This window comes from Homo sapiens, chromosome 6 (genome assembly GCF_000001405.40).
Source record: "Homo sapiens chromosome 6, GRCh38.p14 Primary Assembly".
In the NCBI taxonomy this organism is placed as follows: Eukaryota; Metazoa; Chordata; class Mammalia; order Primates; family Hominidae; genus Homo; species Homo sapiens.
The window spans coordinates 165897068-165918023 of record NC_000006.12 but is presented as its reverse complement, the minus strand read 5'-3'; the positions used below and the strand labels follow the sequence as shown (position 1 = coordinate 165918023).

General features: G+C 45.2%; 1 protein-coding gene across 3 annotated transcripts in view; it reads left to right on the top strand.

The window, feature by feature from the left end:
- PDE10A (phosphodiesterase 10A) overlaps positions 1–20956 on the top strand; it is a 660764-nt gene that overhangs the window by 70029 nt on the left and 569779 nt on the right. For all 3 annotated transcript variants that reach the window (XM_011535387.4, XM_017010194.3, XM_017010197.3), the window contains exon 2: positions 7092–7216. In XM_011535387.4, the coding sequence (XP_011533689.2) occupies positions 7159–7216 (58 nt within the window). In that variant the 5' untranslated portion in view covers positions 7092–7158. The remainder of the gene's footprint in view (positions 1–7091; positions 7217–20956) is intronic.

Sequence of the window (20956 nt, the reverse complement as noted above, 5' to 3'; positions counted from 1 at the left end):
TCCGGAATACTAAGGGAATTGATTTTAGTGGACGTCCAGTATTTATCAACCATTTGTGGGTGATAAGACAGCGCGCCAGTGGCTGGAATCACAGGGCAGCAGGAGGAACAGGGGGTCTGGGCCCTGCACTCGGGGACTCAGCAAGAAAAGAGGGAGTCAGAGGCCATCCAGCGTCACCGGCTCAGAGAACCCGTGAGGGGCTCTGGGATGCAGAAGAGGAGATGGCGCCTAAGCTGGGCCTGCAGGATGAGGTGATGGTGACGCAGGGGGCGTTGGGGAAAGCCTGGCCTGGGGTGCTCCCCGGGTCCGGACTCATCACTTGCCCAGCCTCCAGCGGGCTCCGCCGCACAAAGCACCTGGCTGCCTTTTTTTTTCTTCTTTTACTTTATTCAGTTAATGTCCTCTTTTGACCATTTTAGGAAGCTAGATAGCATGCTGATCTGCCCTTGTAGAGGCCAACGTCTTTTCCCTAAATTTGCCCTGCTTCTGACTTAGAAGTAAAGTGTCCATTTCGGCACCCCTGAGGCGTGGGGCATTTTCGGGGTGCCTGGAGTGCACAATTTTCCCACCATTTTATCTCCCTGGTTCTTTCCCCTGCAGGATCCCAACCTTGTCCAGCTTAGCTCCCATGTGTCCTGGATGATGGAGGTGATGTGTGCCTTCTAGACCGGGGTTGAGTCCTAATTGCTCTAAGTCAGCCATGGCCATGCTCTTGGTGCAGTGAGACCGCTGTACGCCTGTGGCTCAGCCCTGGCCTCGGAGCAGGAAGAGATGTCCGCTGCGGGCACCTAGGGAAGGGTTTTCTTTAAAATGCAAAGAGGTTCAGGAGAGGTGAACCTCCCTCTTGCTCCCTGGGTCTGCGTGTGGGCGGGAGTGAGTCTGGAGCCGGCAACCACTGCTCCCTGTTGCCACCGTGGAAGGAAATCCAAAGGAATTTCAGAAAAGCTGACCTGGAGCTCTGACATTTTTGAACTGCTGAGATAACCAATCCTGGAACTACCCAACCCCAACAGGTCTTAGGAGAAACATGGAATTCCAGCGATCTAAGCCATTTTCATTGGGTATTCTGCTGCCTCCAACACAGAAAACCCCATTGGCATGGGGTCTGGGCGAGGGAGAGCCTGCTATGTATGGTGGAGTGGGAGGTGGCCCACGGTGGAGGAACAAAGGGCGTGGTGTTTCATTTGCTGTAATGACAATAAGGGTGGCCCTTATCCCACAGAGCAAATGTGACCACCACCTAAAAGAGAGAATTGTTGGTCATTGCTGAAGACCAAAAGGAATCCGTTTTTTGCTTTGTTTTGTTTATTTATTTTTACAATCTTTTGACCCAGAGCCATGCAGCAGCACAATCAATCAATAAATGAAATAAATGAAAGCTTAGTATGCATGTGGAGCTGGCTCCAAGCGGGAGAAGATGGCAAAGGAGAGGAACGGTGCCATTTTCTTTGCTCCTTTGTCATTAGGTCTTGTCATTTGTCATGCAGTGTTGTCCCGTAAGACACAGCAGCCATAAGGGCTGACCTTATTACCATCTCATAAATGACCTTCATTTACGATATGACAAACTCACTGAAATATGGCAGAAGAAAACTGAAATGGGCAAATCTTCCTGCATTTTGGCAATCACTTGGTTTGGGAAAGGAAGAGCTACCCTAGGATGGTCCTGTCCTGAATCTGAGTTCTTACTGACCCAGTTATAGCAGAGAAGAACGTGTGGAATCGAACTTGGAATTAGGTCATGAAGTTTCATGATGCTGACAGACATTTTACCTTTTGGTACTGGCAGGTTTTGCAGAAACAAGTTCGGATCAACAGATTGCAAATTAGGAACTGGCATCAGTTCTGACAATTGCTGACAACGTTTTAAAAGAATATTTAAAATGGAATCATTACACACTCTGAAATTAATGTTCCCATAGCAATGTTAACACGGCCACTTTGTGCCAGTGCAATTACTCATTGATTGCTGTTGTTTACATCCAAATTTAGAGTGCAGCATCCAGACCTAATGACATGGCCGAAGTTAGTATTTTGAGGGATACCTCCATATCAAAGTTCCTTTTCTGGTGGATTCACAACACTTTAGACTCAGACTTTGGTTGTCGCAGAAGCATAACCAAAAGGAAGTAAAAGCAATAATCATCAAAATGCCAAAGTTGGTCCTACATTTGAATCACAGAGTTGAAGTATCCTGAGTGATGTATCAGAAAAAGCAGGAAAGTAAAGAAGCCTTGAGGTGTGCACATACATGGCCATGATTTTGTAACCATTCCTTTGGCTCTTTGGAAAGCAAAAGCAGAGGACCCTGGACCAAGGTCAAATGACACGGCCTTGTGTGGTTCCGATTTTGTGTGCAATGCCCAGGGGTGCTCACTGGGTCCACTGGATCTTTACCGGCTCATCTCATCACTGGAAACAGAGAGCAAGGAAGACAGTAATGAAGAGACCCAGCTCCACTCCCAGCAGGGGAGGAGCCTACCCCTTCCCCTGTCCTGTTGTGTTACTGCCTCTCTGGTGCAGAGAGACCGTGGGCTGCACTGTGGCATGTGACAGCAGGTGTAACAGCCACTCCCTCCGCACACACTGTGGTCCTCTGTGATCTGTAACTGCTCATTGTAGCATTCGTGTGCAGTACGTGGTCTGTATCAGGTTTTAATATTTTATTTTATTTTTTGGTTTATGCTCAAATTACTTGTTCAATTTTTTAAAAATCGTTACAATTTGAGGAAAGGGACCTTGTCACAGCCTTCTGTTGCCTTGTCCCCCAGAATCAGCCTTGAACTTGTCTAATCTCATATTTGGACAGGCCAGTGAGCCAGGTTACCACACTTCTAGTTGTACACAAGCAGTTTGACGACGCATTTTCCATTCATGAAAGAAAATTGGTTTTGAACACACTCTAATTGCACATTTGCAAGTTAGAGTTCCATGCATGCTATTTGTTGAAAGCCCCCTTTGGGTTAATTACAAAGTGCCTAAATGCTATTTGATGATTTTGGAAGTAAAATGTGCATGGGACAGTGTTTCTGTGCCTTGAAACCAGTGGAATAGCATCCCATCTTCTAAATTTCACTTTTGCTCTAGAAACATCCTGTACTGTATCTGCCATTCAAACAGACCAGTTGTGAGAGGAATTGGGAGATAATATGGGACTGGAATCCCCTTTCCAATTTTAAGTTTCTGGTCTTAAACATAGTTTAAGATACCCCACACTTCTGGGACTACCTCTTCCACACATCTTTGCCCGTGTGTGACACCATTTATGAGATGACAAACACACTGAAATATAGACAGAAGGAAACTGAAACGGGCAAATCTTCCTGCATTTTGGCAATCACTTGGTTTGGGAAAGGAAGAACTGCCCGAGGATGGTTCACGTATCTCATCCACTTTTTCTAGTGACCCATTCTGTCTGAGTTGGTGACAACATCCCTTGACACTTTCATTTTTCCCTCCCCTTGACACCTTTGTACAGCTGTTGCATGTTTCCCCCAAGTGGTTGTGTCTCTGTTTCGGCATCTGTTTCTCAGCTGGGAAAAGTCTCCATGGGATAACGTGAGGGGCAACTTGGTGGATATCCATAAACCTTGTGAAAAGGAATGATGTCATCACAGGCGAACCCCTGGAATTATGTTTATGAAATGTGCTCATAACTCCCAATGAAGCTACACTTTGGTACATTAACCCTGTAAGTCTTGGAGGGCAACTTTAAGTTGTGGGTGTACCCAGGAGGAAATGTCCGTCTGTCTTCTAAGTTAGTTCAACTCATTAGTGACATCATAAGATCACCATCACCTAGGCAATGGAACATGTTTCTATGGGAACTGCAAAGCTGTGTGATAACACAGCTTCAGAATGTTGACAGTTGGAAATGCCTCCCTTTTTACTGTACTGCAAGCCAAAGGAGGTGTATATGTAGGGGTGGCTGTTTTGATTAAAATATTAGTATTTAAAGTTTGTTAATGTAAACTATTTGGAGACAAATAATTGGTGACACTTAAGATATTTAGAATATTGAAATTTTTGGAAAAACATTATGCTTTAGCTGCATTCAAGAAACCCTTATGTCCTGGAACTTGTGGAGGCCGCGTGAAGTCAGAGTTGTTAGGAGAAAAAGATAAAATCTCTTTGCGAAACTGCAAGAACCATAGATTTGCTGGATGGCTTGTCTCACACATGTGTGACCTTGACCTTGCAGCACTGATGACTGGTTTATGCACATGTCTTTGCTATAGTTCTTTTAGCCATCACTGGCCATCTCCTGAGAACTCTTGGTTTCACCCCACAGGTTACAGAATCATGAGAGTCTCCTTTTATGAAACCGTGACCCAAGCCACATGCCATGTCCCCCCATGTGTGTTTCCACGTTCATACATACATAGATGTGTGTGCGAAGTCAGGTCCATAAACGCCAGTCCTGCATCCTTGGATTCAAGCAAACTCGGACTGAGAATATTTAAAATAATAATAATAACAACAATACAACAATAAAAATAATTTAAAAATTAAGATCTAGTGTAATAATTATTTACATAGCATTTACATTGTGTTAGATATTGTAAGTAATCTAGAGATGATTCAAAGTACACAGGAGGATGTGTGTAGGCTATATGCAAACACTACACCATTTTATATCAGGGACTTGAACATCTGAGGATTTTGTTATCTGTAGGAGGTCCTGGAACTCCCATGAACACTGAGGGATGACTCTGTGTGTGTGTGTGTGTGTGTGTGTGTGTGTGTGTGTACAAGTTGAGTGTCCTTATTCAACATGCTTGGGACCAGAAGTGTCTAGGATTTCAGATTTTTTCAGATTTTAGAATATTTGCATATACATAATGAAATGCCTTGGGGATGGGATCCAAGTCTAAACACAACACTTATTTATGTTTCATATATATTTCCTGCACATAGCCTGAGGTAGTTTTATGTAATAATTTAGATAATCTTGCACACCCATCACATGAGGTCAGGTGTGGAATTCTTTACTTGCAGCCTTGTAACAGCACTCAAAATGTTTCAGATTTTAGAGCATTTTGAACTTTCAAATTAGAGATGTTCAACCTGTATATATATGTGTACACATTTATACAGGTGATTCTTGTTATTTGAGATAGTTGCTTTATAAAGTTGCCATGTACACTGCATTAGCCAATACTAAACAGATGCTTAGCCAATACTAAACAGTTGCTTATACTGGACATAGAGGGTTCGCTTCCTGTGACCCTCTGGTCACATTTATCCACTGAGTAATACATAGCCTTACTTTTTGTGTATTTCTATTTAAAGGCATCTTATTTAATTTATGTTATTGGTTCATTAACATCAAACTCACCACCAACAGCCCTAACACTCAAGCATGAACACAATTCCTCTAACATCTGTTTTCTCCATAAGGCACATCACAGCAGTCTCACGACTTGTGACACTAGACAGCACTTCAGCACTGTGCTTAGGCCATTGTAGGCTGAAAAATCAACCATCAAAGGCAAGAAAATGCAAAAACTGTAGCACTGTGTAGACTGCAGAAAGGACACATTTACAGAATGGGCTGAAGCAAGAAGGTGGAGCGTTGCCTTGTCCACCCTCAGCTGAGAACGCTCCCATCAAGACTTGGATTCTTTCCCTCTCCACACACACTCAGAAACAAGCACAACACTGCGGGTGTTAATGTGGGAGTTACTGATATATTTTGTGAGTAGATGCCTTCACAAATGTGAACCATAACCAGTGAGGTCAACTGAATGCCTGTGTGTGTATATATGTATGTATGTATACATATACGTGTGTGTGTGTGTAGATAGGTGATCAATAGATGGATAGATGATAGATGATAGACAGATAGATGATAGAGAGAGAGAGTTAGATAGTTAGATAGATAATAGGTTATAGACAGATGACAGATAGATGATAAATAATAGATGATTTATAGATGATAGATGATTGATAGAGATGATAAACAGATAATAGAGATAGAGATAGATAGGTGAAAAGAGAGATAGATGGAGAGAGAGAAAGATATATATATATATATATTTAGACTTCCCTCTCTATAGATTCTTCATATCCACCTGAAGATCTGGTAGTGAACAGAAGGTGAAGGGCAGCCGTCTCCCAGAGGAAAACGCACACTTCCTGGCCCTCAAAAGCTTCCTCCGGACAGCACCTTGGAAATGAATGACCTCTCCCAGGCCTTTTGGGTGCTGGCTCTGTGCTCCTCTGGTGCATGTTTGCAGGTGCTTCAGTCCCTCTTGGGGGTAGGCCTGGAAGGCAAGCTAAGGGTCTTGGACACAGAGATGCCTGGGGGCAGTTCTTGGAACCTGGTGAGCCATCCATACCCACTGAATGACTGAAATGCAGAAATGCTGATGTCAGGGAATGGAAGTGGGGCAAAGCCTCATGTTGAAGGGTGTGCTGCCCTTTTCGGTGGCTTATCCTTCTCTGTTTTAGTGGCCGCCCCAGAGACAGTGTAGATGGGAGTTACTGGATTAGCAGTGAAGAGTCACCCTTCAAGACCTGCCTGTGTAACCAGATGAAAGTTGGGATTCAAGTTCCTCATCAATAGAATGACATAAGTACATAGTTTGTTCGGGGGAATTCTATGGCTCTGAAGTTCTTTATTTAAATTTGTTTTCTAATTTTGTCATTTTGAGAAACTCATTTGGAGTTATGTAACGTCTTTGCCATTTTAGGAATGCTGCCCTTTGGGGAACTATTCACAGAACAATGCAATAAATCGTTTTTAATGTTCTCCATTACTAGTATTAATACAAAGCATTATTTTGGAGAAGAGTTTGTTGATTACTCATGTTGATGTTTTGGGTTTTTAAGTTATGATAATTTTTGAGTTGTATTATTAGGTTGGTACAAAAGTAATGGCAAAAACCGCCATTACTTTTGCACCAAACTAAAAATAGCATTGTGATTCTTAGAAATTCTGTCATAGCCCGGGATTAGTCAGGCTGTTTTTTTGTGTGTGGGGTTTTTTGTTTGTTTGTTTGTTTGTTTGTACCTGAAAAAGTATAGATTGTTAGCTGCCACTTGGGAGCATGAGCCATGTGCTGAGCACTCTATTAAATACTCACCAGACCAGTCCCAGTGCTGACCAGTCCCATCGTATCTCTGACGGTGCATATCAGGATCCGCATTGATCAGATGCCGAAACCATGGCTTGGAATGGCTGCGATGAAGCTGAGCTGCGATTCAAACCCAGGTGGGCTTGATTCCAAAGTCAACATTCTTTCTCATTGGCTTTGCAAAGTACAACACTGTAAATACACATTAGATTTTATTCACATACTTTGGATATTTTGCATTTTTAACTCCAGTTTAGTTATAGGATTTTATAGTATATTGAGGGTGGGGTGGAAATGGAGAAATTGAGGAAGTAAATTCATTTTACTAGGAGCTAAAGCTTTATCCCTTTTGTAGAACTAAATTAGACTTTTAAAAAATCTCTTGCTTTTAACACCCCCAAGATGTTATTAAAAGAAACTTTCAATTATAGTTTTTATTCTGGCAGTATTGTTTTTAAACCTGCACGACACTATATATATGAGTTGCCTTGTGAATCTTCCAAACAGAAAGCACTGTACTTTGCAGATTTGTCAGCAATTTATTTAGATGCGGTTTGACTATCTGATGAGCCATCACAACATTCCCATCTGTTCGTCAGGGAGGGAGTTGGAATGTAAACAGACCCAGCCACTGCTTTCTGACTGCCTGAGTTTTCTGGCCATCTTGTCTACCTTGTCACTAGCATCCTATTCATGAAAGCCTTAGCGCTCTCTTGAGTCCTGCTTAACACTGGTCGGCCCCATCTCTATGTCTCTGCACCCAGATATGATTGCTCCATGTCATCACATTGCATCATTCATGCCACATGTGTTTACTGAGCATCTAGTTTATGCCAGGCACTATTCTAGGCACTGGGGATACAACAAAGAACAAACTAGAGTAAAATCCCCGAGCCTTGCATTCTAGAGGAGAAAAGAGAAAATAAACAAGATATATCCATTTTAAAAAATATGTTGAGAGTGATGGGGACAGGTGTTTGATGTGGGAGCGAGCCTTATAGAGACTCAGGGAGAGGGCTTTGTAGAGAAAAAGAAGGAAGGAAGAGCAAAGGAGCCCTTTGGAGGAGAAGTTTGGGTTTGGTGGAACAGCAAGGAGTTGGGGTGGTAGGAGAGAAGCGAGTGAGGGGAGGTTTGTCAAGGTGGGCTTGGGAGATGAGCACCCACAGGCCATGAAGGCTGGTCTAAGGCATTTGGCTCTGAGCTAAGTGAGAAGCCAGAAGAGGGACTGTTCCCACCCTTGGGAAGCCCTTGTGCTAGGCAAGAGGAGCAGGTGAGAAGCTGCCTGCAGGCCTGGCACCACCCGGGGAGGAGCAATTCGCTTTCTGATGCTTCCACCTGGAACCAATGGGGCAGCCAGTTACATCCCTCAAACTCTGCTATGAATGCCTTGTTAACGTCACTCCCAGCCACCTCTGTGACGTATCAGGCCATTGCTTCAATTATTATCCTGCAGCCATAATATGCGTAAAACCAGGAAGCCATTTTCTATTGTATCTCCTATTTGTCCTAAGCTACGGTGTCCGAGTCCAACAGACAGCAACTAACACAGCGAGCAATATAAAAATGTGCTGTAACTTTGTACAATTTCTTATCTAAGTGGCTCCCATTGCCAGCTCAAGACCTGCCCACAGAGTACTCAAAACCCAAGGTAACTTCATGGCCTCTCTTTTCCTCCTTTCTTCCTTTGTGTGGCACAGCCCCAGCCAGGGGCCCTGGGAGTGTGTAAAGTCAGGCTCTTCAAAGTCCGCAGTGCAGTTCCTTTTCCCTGGACTGATGTGGCACCTTCAATTCCTCTCAAATCGATTAAATCAAGTTTGACTTTTGTGTTCCATTTTTTTTTTCAACATTTCCATGAATTACCAAGACACAGCTTTCTACAGAGAAGCACCTTTCTCCAGATCTTCATTGCCATTTTGGACACACAGCTCCAAACCCAAAATGTGTCCACTGGATCAACCCACAATGCAAACAACTGCTTTCTAAGGAAAAGCCGAGTTTCTAGGAGGCAGCCCACTTCTGACGTGTCCTTCAGTTAACAGGCTGCAGTGGACAGCGTGTGGTGGGTGGAGGAAGACGGCAGATGAGAAATTCAAGGAGATTCACCACAGAGCAGCTTTCTGGCTCAGCTGTTCTAGGGTGCCATGGAAAACACACCGCTTGACAAGGCTCCACCCTGGAGATTTACTACTCAGTGAAAAGACACATCCTATTCACGGATTGGGATGCTGGAGTCCCCATGTTCTGGGAAGAGGTCTGTCTTGGCAGGCTGCCTTCCCTCTGGAAAAGCGGCATCTGGAGTGCCCACTCCTCTGACAATACAACACGGAATTGGCAGGGGGACACCTCCAGCCTTCACTAGACTTGCCTTGGTGTTATCGCATGCAGCCCGTGCATTCAAGGTTCCTGGCCCCCGTGCTGGATTGTATGTGGATTCTCTTTTGTGGCCTCTGCTGCTGTGAATGGAACCCACATTTAGAATCAGCAACTCCCAGCAAAATTGAGTACTCTGCAATTCCTTAAAGCCCCTTTCTCTTTTCTCCATGTTTCTCCAACCCAACGGTAGCCCAAGACATTTTAGGTTGCCATTGTGGGTGTTGTTTATGGACTGTCTCCTTTGGGAGGCACTTTCTCGTTCTCTAAGAAGAAACAAAGCAAAACACAAGACCCAGCCTTCCCAGGTGTGTGAAGTCCTGCATGGCAGCCCTCGCTGGCTCTCTGCGAACAGGGACAGAGCCCGACTCCTTCCTGTGGCTTCATTTCCATTGTCCTTGCTTCCTCGTAATAATTTTTGTGAAGATTATTCTGGGGCTGCAAAACTTAGCCTTACTTTTCAAAGTGTTCTTGCTCCTCCTCTCCCAAGCATTTGCTGAAATAAGAGGTTCCTCCGGGTTTTTGGAAACATATTCCTCAGTTCCTGACTTGACTCCAGAACGACACTTGTTTAAAGTTCACCCTCTTCTTCTCTGGGTTTCCAATGTTGTCCTAAGGCTCGAGGTGTAGTTTTTTGTTAGTTCTTTTGTTGGTTTAGGTAGCAATGACTGAAGCCTGTTCTCTCTAAGAGCTGACTACAATTTTCTCTCTGCCTCTGAACAAACTATTTTGCAGAGCTAGAGGTGTCCAGGCATGGCCTCAGCCCTCACCCATGCTGCTCTGGGCGCGGCCTCAGCCCTCATCCATGCTGCTCTGGGCTGTTCCACGGTCCTTTCCCCACTGCTGCAGGGAGGCCCATCACTGGTCTGAGGCATCCGCTCCTCCTGCAGGGTGCTTTATTCCTCCTTCTTGCTGGATTTCACAAACCACGATGGCACTCAGGTCAGGGCAGCACACGAACCCCTGACACCTGGCTGAGGAGCAGGATGATGAGGGGGAAAGGAAGCTGAGGCCACAAACTTCAGGGCGGCCAGTGACTCTCAGCCCAAACCTCAGAGCTCCTCTTTGCAGAGTCTGCAGAGAGAGTGCGGCTCCCACTGTGCAATGCACAGAGAGTGTCTCTGAAGTGACTCGCACCTGAATCCAGTTCCAGCAACGCGAGGCTCCCGGGAAGGGCAGCTGCTCTTTCAGAGGGAGGCTCTCGCCCACCCCTCACACCTCAGCCTCTATGCCCCTGGCCTTCCACGCTGGGAACAGTGTTACCCACCTCTGGGGAAAGAGATGTGGTGATGGCCCGGATCCTGAATCTCCCACCAGGACCAGTGAATCCTGCAACCACGGCGGCAGGCCTGCACTGCACCAGGACTCTGGGCGATGGAGCCTTGTGCCTTGCAGCCAGGGTTTTGGCCCCATCACCATGAATAGTCTCCTGCTACATATAAGCCAACAAGGCTGCTTGTCCTGATGAGTTCAAAACCTAGTTGAAAATATGCAGAGGAGTCCTCCTAACACAAGGCCCTGCTCTGTGATTGCCTGGCCCGTAAAGAAAGGGTCAAGGTCCCAAGACAGAGCCCTACCTCACAAGACCTGTCCAGCAAGGACAGGGCTGTGAGCACTTGCATTCCTTCCTTCTGCAACCCAGGAGCGAAGGCCGTCTTGGATATTAATTTACTTACCTGGACTCCGATCTACCGTGTGACTTTGGTCACGTTACTTCACCTCTCTTGGCCAATAGTCTCTTTACTTTTTGCAACCCAGGGACTGGGCTTCTTCAGTGCCTCTTAGAACTCCTGATCCTAAGGGAAAGGATCTGCCCTTTGGGCAGCGTTTAAGTGTTCTCTTCCCTAAGCACCTCTCCTATTCCAGGCTTTCTCTGTTCCATGGATTCCTTTTCCTCCCCATGTGTGCATTCTCTGGCACCTGCCAGAGGACCCCTTCCCAGATGTTCCTTCCACCTTACCTTTCCATTATTTCCATTCTTTCACCTTGCTTTGTCCTAATCTGACTTTCTGAAGCCATTATCTATTATTTCATTATAAAAAGTCTAGCTTGGGACCCACCAAGTTCATTTCATGGCTGATTATTGGTTTGAGACCTGGAGTTTGAAAAACAGTGCTCTACAGGACCTTGAAAGACAAGTGCATAACCCCTGTCATTCAAGTGACTTCGGCACTGTGGATCCTAGGACAGGTCCCTGAAGAAGGCAAGTGGTAGAGAAGGGAGAAAGGATCTCAGGACGTGAGTTCATAGGAGGCTGGGAAAAGTGTGAAATGGTTTTATGCTGGGAAAGCTAAACGGAGAGCTTCCTCCTTTCCACTGCGCCCTTGGAGCAGTACTGGCCGAAGGACTTTGTGACAAAGAAGGGTCTTACGTGACTTTAAGCTCTTCTCCAGGAGTCTACTATTCCAAGATCACTGGCTTTGCCACCAGTCTCATGTGGGGAAATAAGGAAGGGAGGAAGGAAGGAAGAAAGGAAGAAAGGAAGGGAGGGAGGGAGGAAGGAAGGGACGGAGGGAGGGAGGGAGGGAAGGAAGGAAGGAAGGAAGGAAGGGAGGGAGGGAAGGAAGGAAGGAAGGAAGGAAGGAAGGAAGGAGAAAAAGGGAAGGTAAAAAGGAACAAAGAAAGAAGGAAAAAAATTGTTTTATAAAATAACACATTTTTCTCAATTACAAGAACGTATACTATTACTTTTATGACTAGATTTGTGTCTAGAACTAGGTAAGGTTATTACTGCTTTGTTTTTAAACCTGACATCTGGGAAACCCCATGTGCTGTCACTGTTGCATGCAGTCTTTCCAGCTCCAGGCCAACATTGTTAATATTTGGATTTTATGAATCTTTAGCACTTGCAAGTGTTTAATAGTCACTCTCATTCTTTGGAGGCTGTTGTTTTTTTTTCAGTTAAAAAAGTATTATATGCTTACTGCAGATAATTAGAGAAAAAGAAAAGAATTTTTTAAATTACCATGTAAATGGCGATTTAAAATATATAAACATATGTATTTTTAATCTTTAAATTCATATATGTATATACATATGTGTTTTAGACTCCTTACAAGTATAACCATGCTATTGACAGTTAATAAAAAGTGTTTGTTAGTGAAATTAATAGATATGGACAAGATTCTTAATGATTATTAAAGAAAGATGAATACATATAAAAGATCGAGATTTTTAAGGGTCGAATTGCTTTTAATTGCATGTATGTAAACTTAGGCTAGAAATAACAATTTAATATTGTCTACTAATTTAAACAACCTCTATGTAGACTTTGCAGACATAAATATAATAAAATTTCATTTATTTATGATACAAAATTTCATTTCTCCAATATTTGAAGTAAATTTCCTGAATTGGTTGAAATTAGTAAGGTTATGGTATGAAAATATTACTTTTGTAAAGTTAAAGAAATCACTTTATGTAGTTGAATGGCTTTGGCTCTGCATAACACTTCTTTACAAACATCTACATCTGTGGTAGTTTGGAGACTGGAGAGTGGTGATGTTTCCTTGTATACAGTAAATAACATATTCTATTACACAAAAGCTCATAATGACTAAATAATGAAAGACATGAAATATCTAAAAATAATAAAAGAATTTAGGCAAATATGACACAAGAGCTAAAAGAACAAAGAAAACTCAAATCTATTAATTAGTAGACAAATTACTTTTGGTAGACATTGTTCAGTGAAAGTCTTTGAATGTGACCAATTTTATGCTGCTGATAAAAAGAAGGAGAGTTGAATGTGACTCACACTGGATTTGAATCTTTCTGAGTAAGATTCCATGGTTATCCACAAATGCAGTACTAAGCGAACACAAAAACAGTAAATGAAATTAATGGAAATTGAGACATTCTAACTCAGAGAAATGTGAAATATAAAAAGAATACTTCTTTTCTTATGTTTACATTTGTTTGTTTAATAATCTGAAGTATAGGAGATCCTTGCCCTCCAAAAAATCTTGCTGCCTAGAAAACTCTCCTTAGAAGGATTTGACCAAAATGAGGGAAAAAAATTGTACCATAAAGAGAGAAAAAATATTGAGCGAGACTTTATTTTGAAAAATTAAAGTTAGTGATTATATTTATAGTCTAAGAAATTAGGTATTAATTTCCTGTATGGGTTGATTCTTAAGTTTCTTTTTACTCTTGGCCAATGACCTCTCTTCATTGTTCATTGCAAAAATAAGATCAATCATAGAGACTTCCTTGTCTCTTTCCCAATGTAGGCCCATCCAGACCCATGGAGGTCTCCGCATTTCCCTTCTCCTAAGGCAGATGCAATGGCCTCACCCCAACACAGACCAGCCCCTCCACTGCTGCTTCGGATTCCGTCCCCTCTCTCTTCTCAAAGACTTTGTCTTGAAATTACCCTCCTCTTTACTATACCACCAATTATTCCCTTTATATTTGGCCATTCCCTTCAGCATTAAAAATTCTCTCATATCTTTCATCTTTGGTATAACAACCCTCCTACGTCCTATAATTCTCTCCAGTTACTGCCCTACTCCTCTGTTCCCCTTGAAACCAATGTTTCCATCCCCACTTCCTCAGCTGAGATTCTCTCCTTGGCCCATTGCAGCCAGGCTTCCATCTCTCCACTCCAGTGAAACTAACCTTGTTATGGTCCCCAGTGGCCTCCTTCTTGCTAAATCCATTGGCCATTTCTCTGCCCTCTTCTTGATGCCCTCTTCTTTTCCATAGGTGACTGCTTCCACCTTAAGTCACCCTCTTCCCTTGGTTCCTAGGACGTCTCATCCTCCTGTTTCCTCCTGGCTGTTCTCTATTTCTCTGTTGCTAAATGTTGGAGTACTCAGCTTTTTTTTTGTATCTACACTTTCTCCCCAGGTGATCTCATCCAAAGTAATGGCTTTAATCACCTTCTTTATGAAAATAATTCCCAAAATGTTACCTCCACCTTTTATCCTTCCAACTTCCGATGAGTAGCGGCCTGTTATACAACAGTTTACTGGATCTATGCACATGGACGTCTTATTGAAACCTCAAACTCAACATGTCTAAAGGAGAAATCTTATTTGCCTTCCTCCAATTGTCTTTTCTGTCTCCTAGTCTCAATATGTGGCACCAAACTCCAACCAAAACTCTCTCATTATTGATCTCTCACTTCCCTGTACCCATCACATTCAAACCCTAAAGAAGTTCTATCAACTTTCCTTCCAAAATGAATCCTATATTCATCTACTTTCCTCCATCTTCACTATTACTAAACTAGTTCAACTTCTAAGCAAATTAGCCTTCCTCCATGTTCCACTGCAGTGTAGTCAGAGCAGGCAGAAAAAGTTTTTTAAAAACTGAAACCATATGAAATACCATTAATTAATATTTTCCAATGAGCTCCCAATGCAGAAGAATAAAAATTCGAACCCTTACAAAATTCTGTAAAAACCGAACCCCACCTAACTTACAAACATCCTATTACTCTCCTTTATCATACCTCAATTTTAATTAGGAAGTAAAGCAACAGGACTTGACAAAGAGTTAAATGTAGGAGATGAGGAAAAAAGTGTCAGGAATGACTTCTGTGTTTCTATCTTGCTCAATTTGTAGTGTTAGTAACAGTAATGCCGGCTGCTGTAACAAATAGGCCACATATAAAAGGCTCAAACACAACAGAAGTTATTTCTGGTTCACTTAACAGTATAAAATGTGTGTTCCTGGTCTGGGCAGCTTTCCTTCACGTACCCAGGACCTTTTCTTCTGCAGCCTTGCCTTCTCCAGGGACTCACTGTTACCTGTGTCCAGACTGTGGAAGGATGATGAGTGTGGAGAAGACATATCTGCCCTTCAGTCTTGGCCCAGAAACAATGCTGATACCTCCACTGACATTCCACTGGCAAGAACAGCCCGTGCGCCACACCTGGAATGGGAAGGATGGCGAGGAAATATCATTGCTGGTGGGTAGCCACCTCCTAGAACTTCCTTCTCTAGATGGGCTCACAAATTCCAGTGTCAGTGAGCCAGTGCTGCCACAGATAACTATTCTTTGAAATAAGGAATGCCGAAGAGAGCCAGTTCTGTGAGGGAGTATTGGGAATTCACACCATATCAAGCAAGAGAAAAGAGAGGAAGTATTTCAGGGGTGCACCACCTATGCATGTCATGTGATGCCAAAAGCAACCCACCAATTGGGATAAAAAACAGTCAGCTGATCATTTGACCTTGAATCCAGAAACACCGATCAAAGTAAAACACTCACAGCTCGGCAGCCGGCTTGCCGCTTGCTCATTTTTGCATCACACAAATCCAGCCGAGGAAGCAAAGGTTCAAATCATGGCATCTGTTTGCAGATCTCTGAGAAACAAGGGCTGTGGCCAGAGGAGTGGACGTGCAGTCAGTCAATATGGGGTGGGCTTTTCTGAACAAAGATTCCGAGAAGACCATGAGCTTGTCAGACAGAAATCTAATCTGCATATGTGATCCATGCAGTCCTAGGTATAGATTGCATATACATATACAAAATTTGTTTTTATTCAATTTGGAAATAATTGTTGACCATGATTTCCTACAGCTCACACAAATGAGGTAAGAACAAAGGTGATCAGTAGTTAATAATGGACTGGGACTGTTTGAAAAGCAACTTGGACAATGGAATGAATAAATATATCTGGATACTCTGACCTCAACCGTGCATATCAGATCAGCTAATGTCTGTTGGATAATTTTATGTGACGGGCTGGGCTTAGTCATGGGGACAAATAAATGAGAAGAACAAAGAAAATGAGAAAAACAAATTCTTTTCTTTTTTTTTTTGAGATGGAGTTTCACTCTTGTTGCCCAGACCAGTGCAACGGCGCAATCTCAGCTCACCACAACCTCCACCTCCCAAGTTCAAGTGATTCTCCTGCCTCAGCCTCCCGAGTAGCTGGGATTACAGGCATGTGCCACCATGCGTGGCTAATTTTGTATTTTTAGTAGAGACAGAGTTTCTCCGTGTTGGTCAGGCTGGTCTCAAACTCCGGACCTCAGGTGATCCGCCCGCCTCGGCTTCCCAAAGTGCTGGGATTACAGGCATGAACCACCGTGCCTGGCCATGCGGGGCATTTTGTAATAAGGGCTGAGCAGCCAGATGAGAGGCAGGGGAGGTGGAGGCAGCCCACGTGAGACCCGGAGCCCTGATGAGGACCTGGGCTTTGTTCTCTGTGCCGCAGGAGCCACCGGCTGTTTTAAAACAGAGGAGAGAATGGTCATTTTTAATACTTTAGGTGAATAACTCTAGAAAGTGAATTGAAGACATACCTGGTGTGGAGCTGGGCATAACAGGAGAAGTGCCCCTTTTTGCCATGTGGTGTGGAGGTTCATTTGTTTAGCTAGCCTTGGGGGAGCACAGAGTTCCTGCTGGGCATCGAGCCAGGAGCTGGAGACGCCACAGAAACAGGGCCAGGTCCTGATAGATGAGGGGCTTCCAAGTGGGTGAATGTTTCGCTGCGGAATCATCAAAGCCTGTTGGTGGAGAATTCGGTGGATGAGTCCACGTGGAGGCCGAGGTGGAACGTGCTGCTGTCTACAGTGCTTCATCCCACGCAGCCTGGGCTCTCCCTCTCCTATTATTGGCTGTGCACATGACCGTGACCTACAACTGGGCCTTTCGCTCATTAAGAGAGTGCCCAGGTCTGGTTTTAAACACAAACTTGCTCCTGGCTTCAGTCAGGGGCCTGTTATCATTAGTCTGGTTAGTTCAGGGAACATCGTATATTTTGCTGTGTAATTGTCACAGTGGCATGCAGGAACTATGAGAGTATGTTGGATAGATATGAAGGCTGCAGTTATCCTTTATAGATTGATTATTGAATTTGGCCTCGAGCTGGAGCCTAGAAGGGGGAAGTAAACTTTGTCTCTGATTTGTCCTGTAATCCTTTTTCTGTTACCAACCAATTATAACCAATACTCACTGGGTTTGGAAGAAAGGTGTTCAACTACAATCTCTCCTTCTTTACAACTAGGTGTATATACACATGGGGGTTGGAGACAGAGAGACAGAGAAAGAGAGAGACAGAGAGGGACAAAAGAGAGAGAGAGAGAGATGATGTGTGCCCACTGGTCAGATGTCTTTTTTTTTTATTTTTATTTGTAGTTTTTTTTGAGACACAGTCTCGCTCTGTCACTGAGGCTGGAATGCAGTGGTGTGATCTCAGCTCACTGCAACCTCCACCTCCTGGGTTCAAGCCATTCTCCTGCCTCAGCCTCTGGAGTAGCTGGGATTACTGGCACCTGACATCATGCCCAGCTAATTTTTGTATTTTTAGTAGAGATAGGGTTTCTCCATGTTGGTTAGGATAGTCTTGAACTCCTGACCTCAAGTGATCTGCCTGCCTCGGCCTCCCAAAGTGCTGGGATTACGGGTGTGAGCCACTGCGCCCCGCCCAGATGTCTTTATTTTTGAATGATCTGACTGGACAGACCTCCACGTGTCTCTAGGACAGAGAGCACATCTCCCTGCCCCTCTCTTTCAGCCCCCATCACCCTCACAGGGCAAGGGGCTGCAGGGCACCAGCGAACCTGTGGGAGTCCTGCTTGCCTCCCGTGGCCTCATGGCCTCCTTGGCTCCTGGCAGCAGGACCCATCAGATAGCCCTGGCCAATCAGCCCTCCCCAGTGGATCTCTGAAGGGCCAGTGAAAATCAGTGTATGGGGAGATTCAAAAAGAAAAGGGAAAAAACAGGTTGCTGAGCAACCCAACTCCGTAAGCAGAGGGAGATGCTATTTTTACACCAAGAAGGTGGCTGCAGTTGATTCTGTAGCAACTCCCAGGAGAGCAGAGCTCTGCCTTAGCCAGGGTAGGAGCTCCTGACAGCCCAGGAATGAACCACAGGACGCAGCACCTGGTACAGCCCGGCCAGCGCACACAGCTTCGGGTCACGGGTGCCAAGGCCCCAGGTACCACCCTTTAGGGCTCAGATTGAATGTGACTTCTTTAGAAAGGATTCCATGTTCAGTCAGTCATTCAGCATGCCTGTGCTGCTCCTGCATAGCACTCACCTGAATGTGTAATTATAAGCGTATTTTTGTGATTTTTGCAAAACATCTCTCTGCCACTAGCCTGGAAGCCAAGGAAGGTAGATGCAGTGACAGTCTCCATTCACCACTGTACATCCCAGCCCCTAGCCCATCCTCTGGCCCAGTGACTCTCAGTCAATATTCATGGAATATGTGAAAACGATGGCTGAATATTAGTGTGATGGCTCTGATCATTATTAAATGTCAACTCTAGTCAAAGTGTGGGAAAGAGTACCATGATCTCAACAGTTTTTCTTTAACTTGCTACCAGAAGTATCTTTTAAGTTGCTACCAGAAGTATCTTTTCTTTAAGTTGATACCGGAAGTATCTTTCAACAATAAAATACCTAGATTCTGGCAATTACTGAATGAGGATCATCCCCCAAATTAACTAGTATGCTTGCATTCGTACCACAAAAGTTGCTGGTCTCATTGTTATGCCAGACACTCTTCTGGATGCCAGGGAAAGATGCACAAATGAACAAAGCCCCTGTCCCCATGGAACTCACATTGCCTCTGTGGGGAAAAAGACAAAACCATCGAGTGAAGGCAGGAGCTGCCGGGAGGCCTTGATGGGGTCCCCGAAGGCCTTTGGATCAGATGACTTTTGAGAAGAGACCCAAAGAAATGGGGGAATGATGCACACAGACATCTGGAGGAAGAACCTTCTGGAAATGCAGAGACCCTGAGGCTGCCGTAGGGACAGCACTTGGCCGAGTGAGGAAGGCAGTGCGCTGGGATGGAGCAGGGAGGAGGCAGCAGCCAGGTCCTGGGAGGCCTTCCAGACCTACCATGCCACATGGAGACAAAGAATGGAGAGGAATGACCTGAGGGCTGAGTCTGGGAGTGGGTGCCGTCCAGTGTTTAGGGGTGGGGAGGTTGGGAGGGTCCCAGGGAGGAGAATGAGAGCATCCTGAGGTGTAGATGCCCTCAGGGTATGGGATTCCCAGGATGTAAGGGACAGCTGTGGCACAAGGCTGAGGGGTGAGGATTGGATTTGACCACATGCTGATCTCCACAGGAGCTGTTTTGATGGTGGGATCACAGCACGGGAGTGACGAGGAAGAGATCCCCAATCTCCAGGTTTCGTGCTTTGCTCTGTGCCCTGGAGTGGCCTGTTCATCTTGGAGTTCCAATATGGACTTCGAGACCTAAAGGGTGGTGCCTGGCACCTTGGCACCATGACCCGAGGCTGTGCTCGCTCACCAGGCTATACCAGGTGCTGCGTTGTGCGGTTCATTTCCAGGCAGTCAGGAGCTCCTACTCTGGTTCAGGCAGAGCTCTGGTGTCCTAGAAGTTGCTACAGAATCTACTGCAGCCACCTTCTCAGTGTAAAAACAGTGAGAGCTTAGTTTATCGCTGTGAAGGAGATGGGAGGCAGCGGGGGGATCTGGGCACAGCAGTAAGAAGACTGGACTCCCATTTCTGGCAGATGGCAACTCATGGGGGGTGGAGGGGGACTAGAGCCTCCCCAGCGCAAGGTAGGAGGGGGAGACAGAGGGGAGCCCTTGCCACGATGTGGGAGGCAGCTTGTACAAGGGGGTGGGTTACAGGGGCTAACGGGAGTGGTCGGCAAAGGACCGCACGGGGCACCTGATGGTGGTAGAGCCCGCAGGTTCTACTCCTGGGTGGACATGAGGTGAGAGGTAGGAGTTAAGGAAGACTCCAAGGTTTTAGCCTAAGCAGCTGGAGGAGAGCACAGCGTTTCTGGAAATGAAGCCCTCCAGTAGCTACTGTGAGGCTTCTGGGGATGTACCAGAAAGCCATTATCCTGCATCTCATTGGGGGAGAAAAGGCACCCACAGGCACATCCTGAGCTCACCTACAGTGTGTGCCAGGATTCCCAGAGGACACGTCGGAACTCCAAGATGAACAGGTCACTCCAGGGCAGGAAGCAAAGCAAGAAGCCTGGAGGTGGGGGGGCTGGGGGGCGGGTCTGGTCCTTCTCACTCCCCTGCCATGATCCCATCATTGAAACAGTTCCTGCCGAGATCAGCACATGCTCACATCCAATCCTCACCCCTCAGCAGTGTGCCACAGCCATCCCTTCCCCTCCAGGGACCTCACTCCCTGGGGGCACCTGCAGCTCAGGACCCTCTCATTCTCCTCCCTGGGACCCTCCCTATCTCCCCCACCCCCAAATACTGGATGGTGCCCACTCCCAGACTGTCCTCAGGTCATTTCTTCCCCAATTCTTTTTCCCTGTATGGCATCCCTCCCCAGGTGTTTCATCCAGCCTCAAGTCTTTAAAGACAGTCTACACACAAGGGCCTCCCCAATTTCTGTGATCATTTAGAAACTCTCCTCTAAACTCCACTGCCAGGACCCTAGCCATGTGGCCACTGTTTCCACCAAAGCACTTCCAAACACTGCAGGTTCACCTTTTCTCCAGGCAGTTTGTTTAGTGCTTGGACACCAGGAAGTTCCGTTTGCTTTTCCATATTTTTTTCAGTTCTACAACCACAAGAATTGCCCATATTTTTGCCCAAC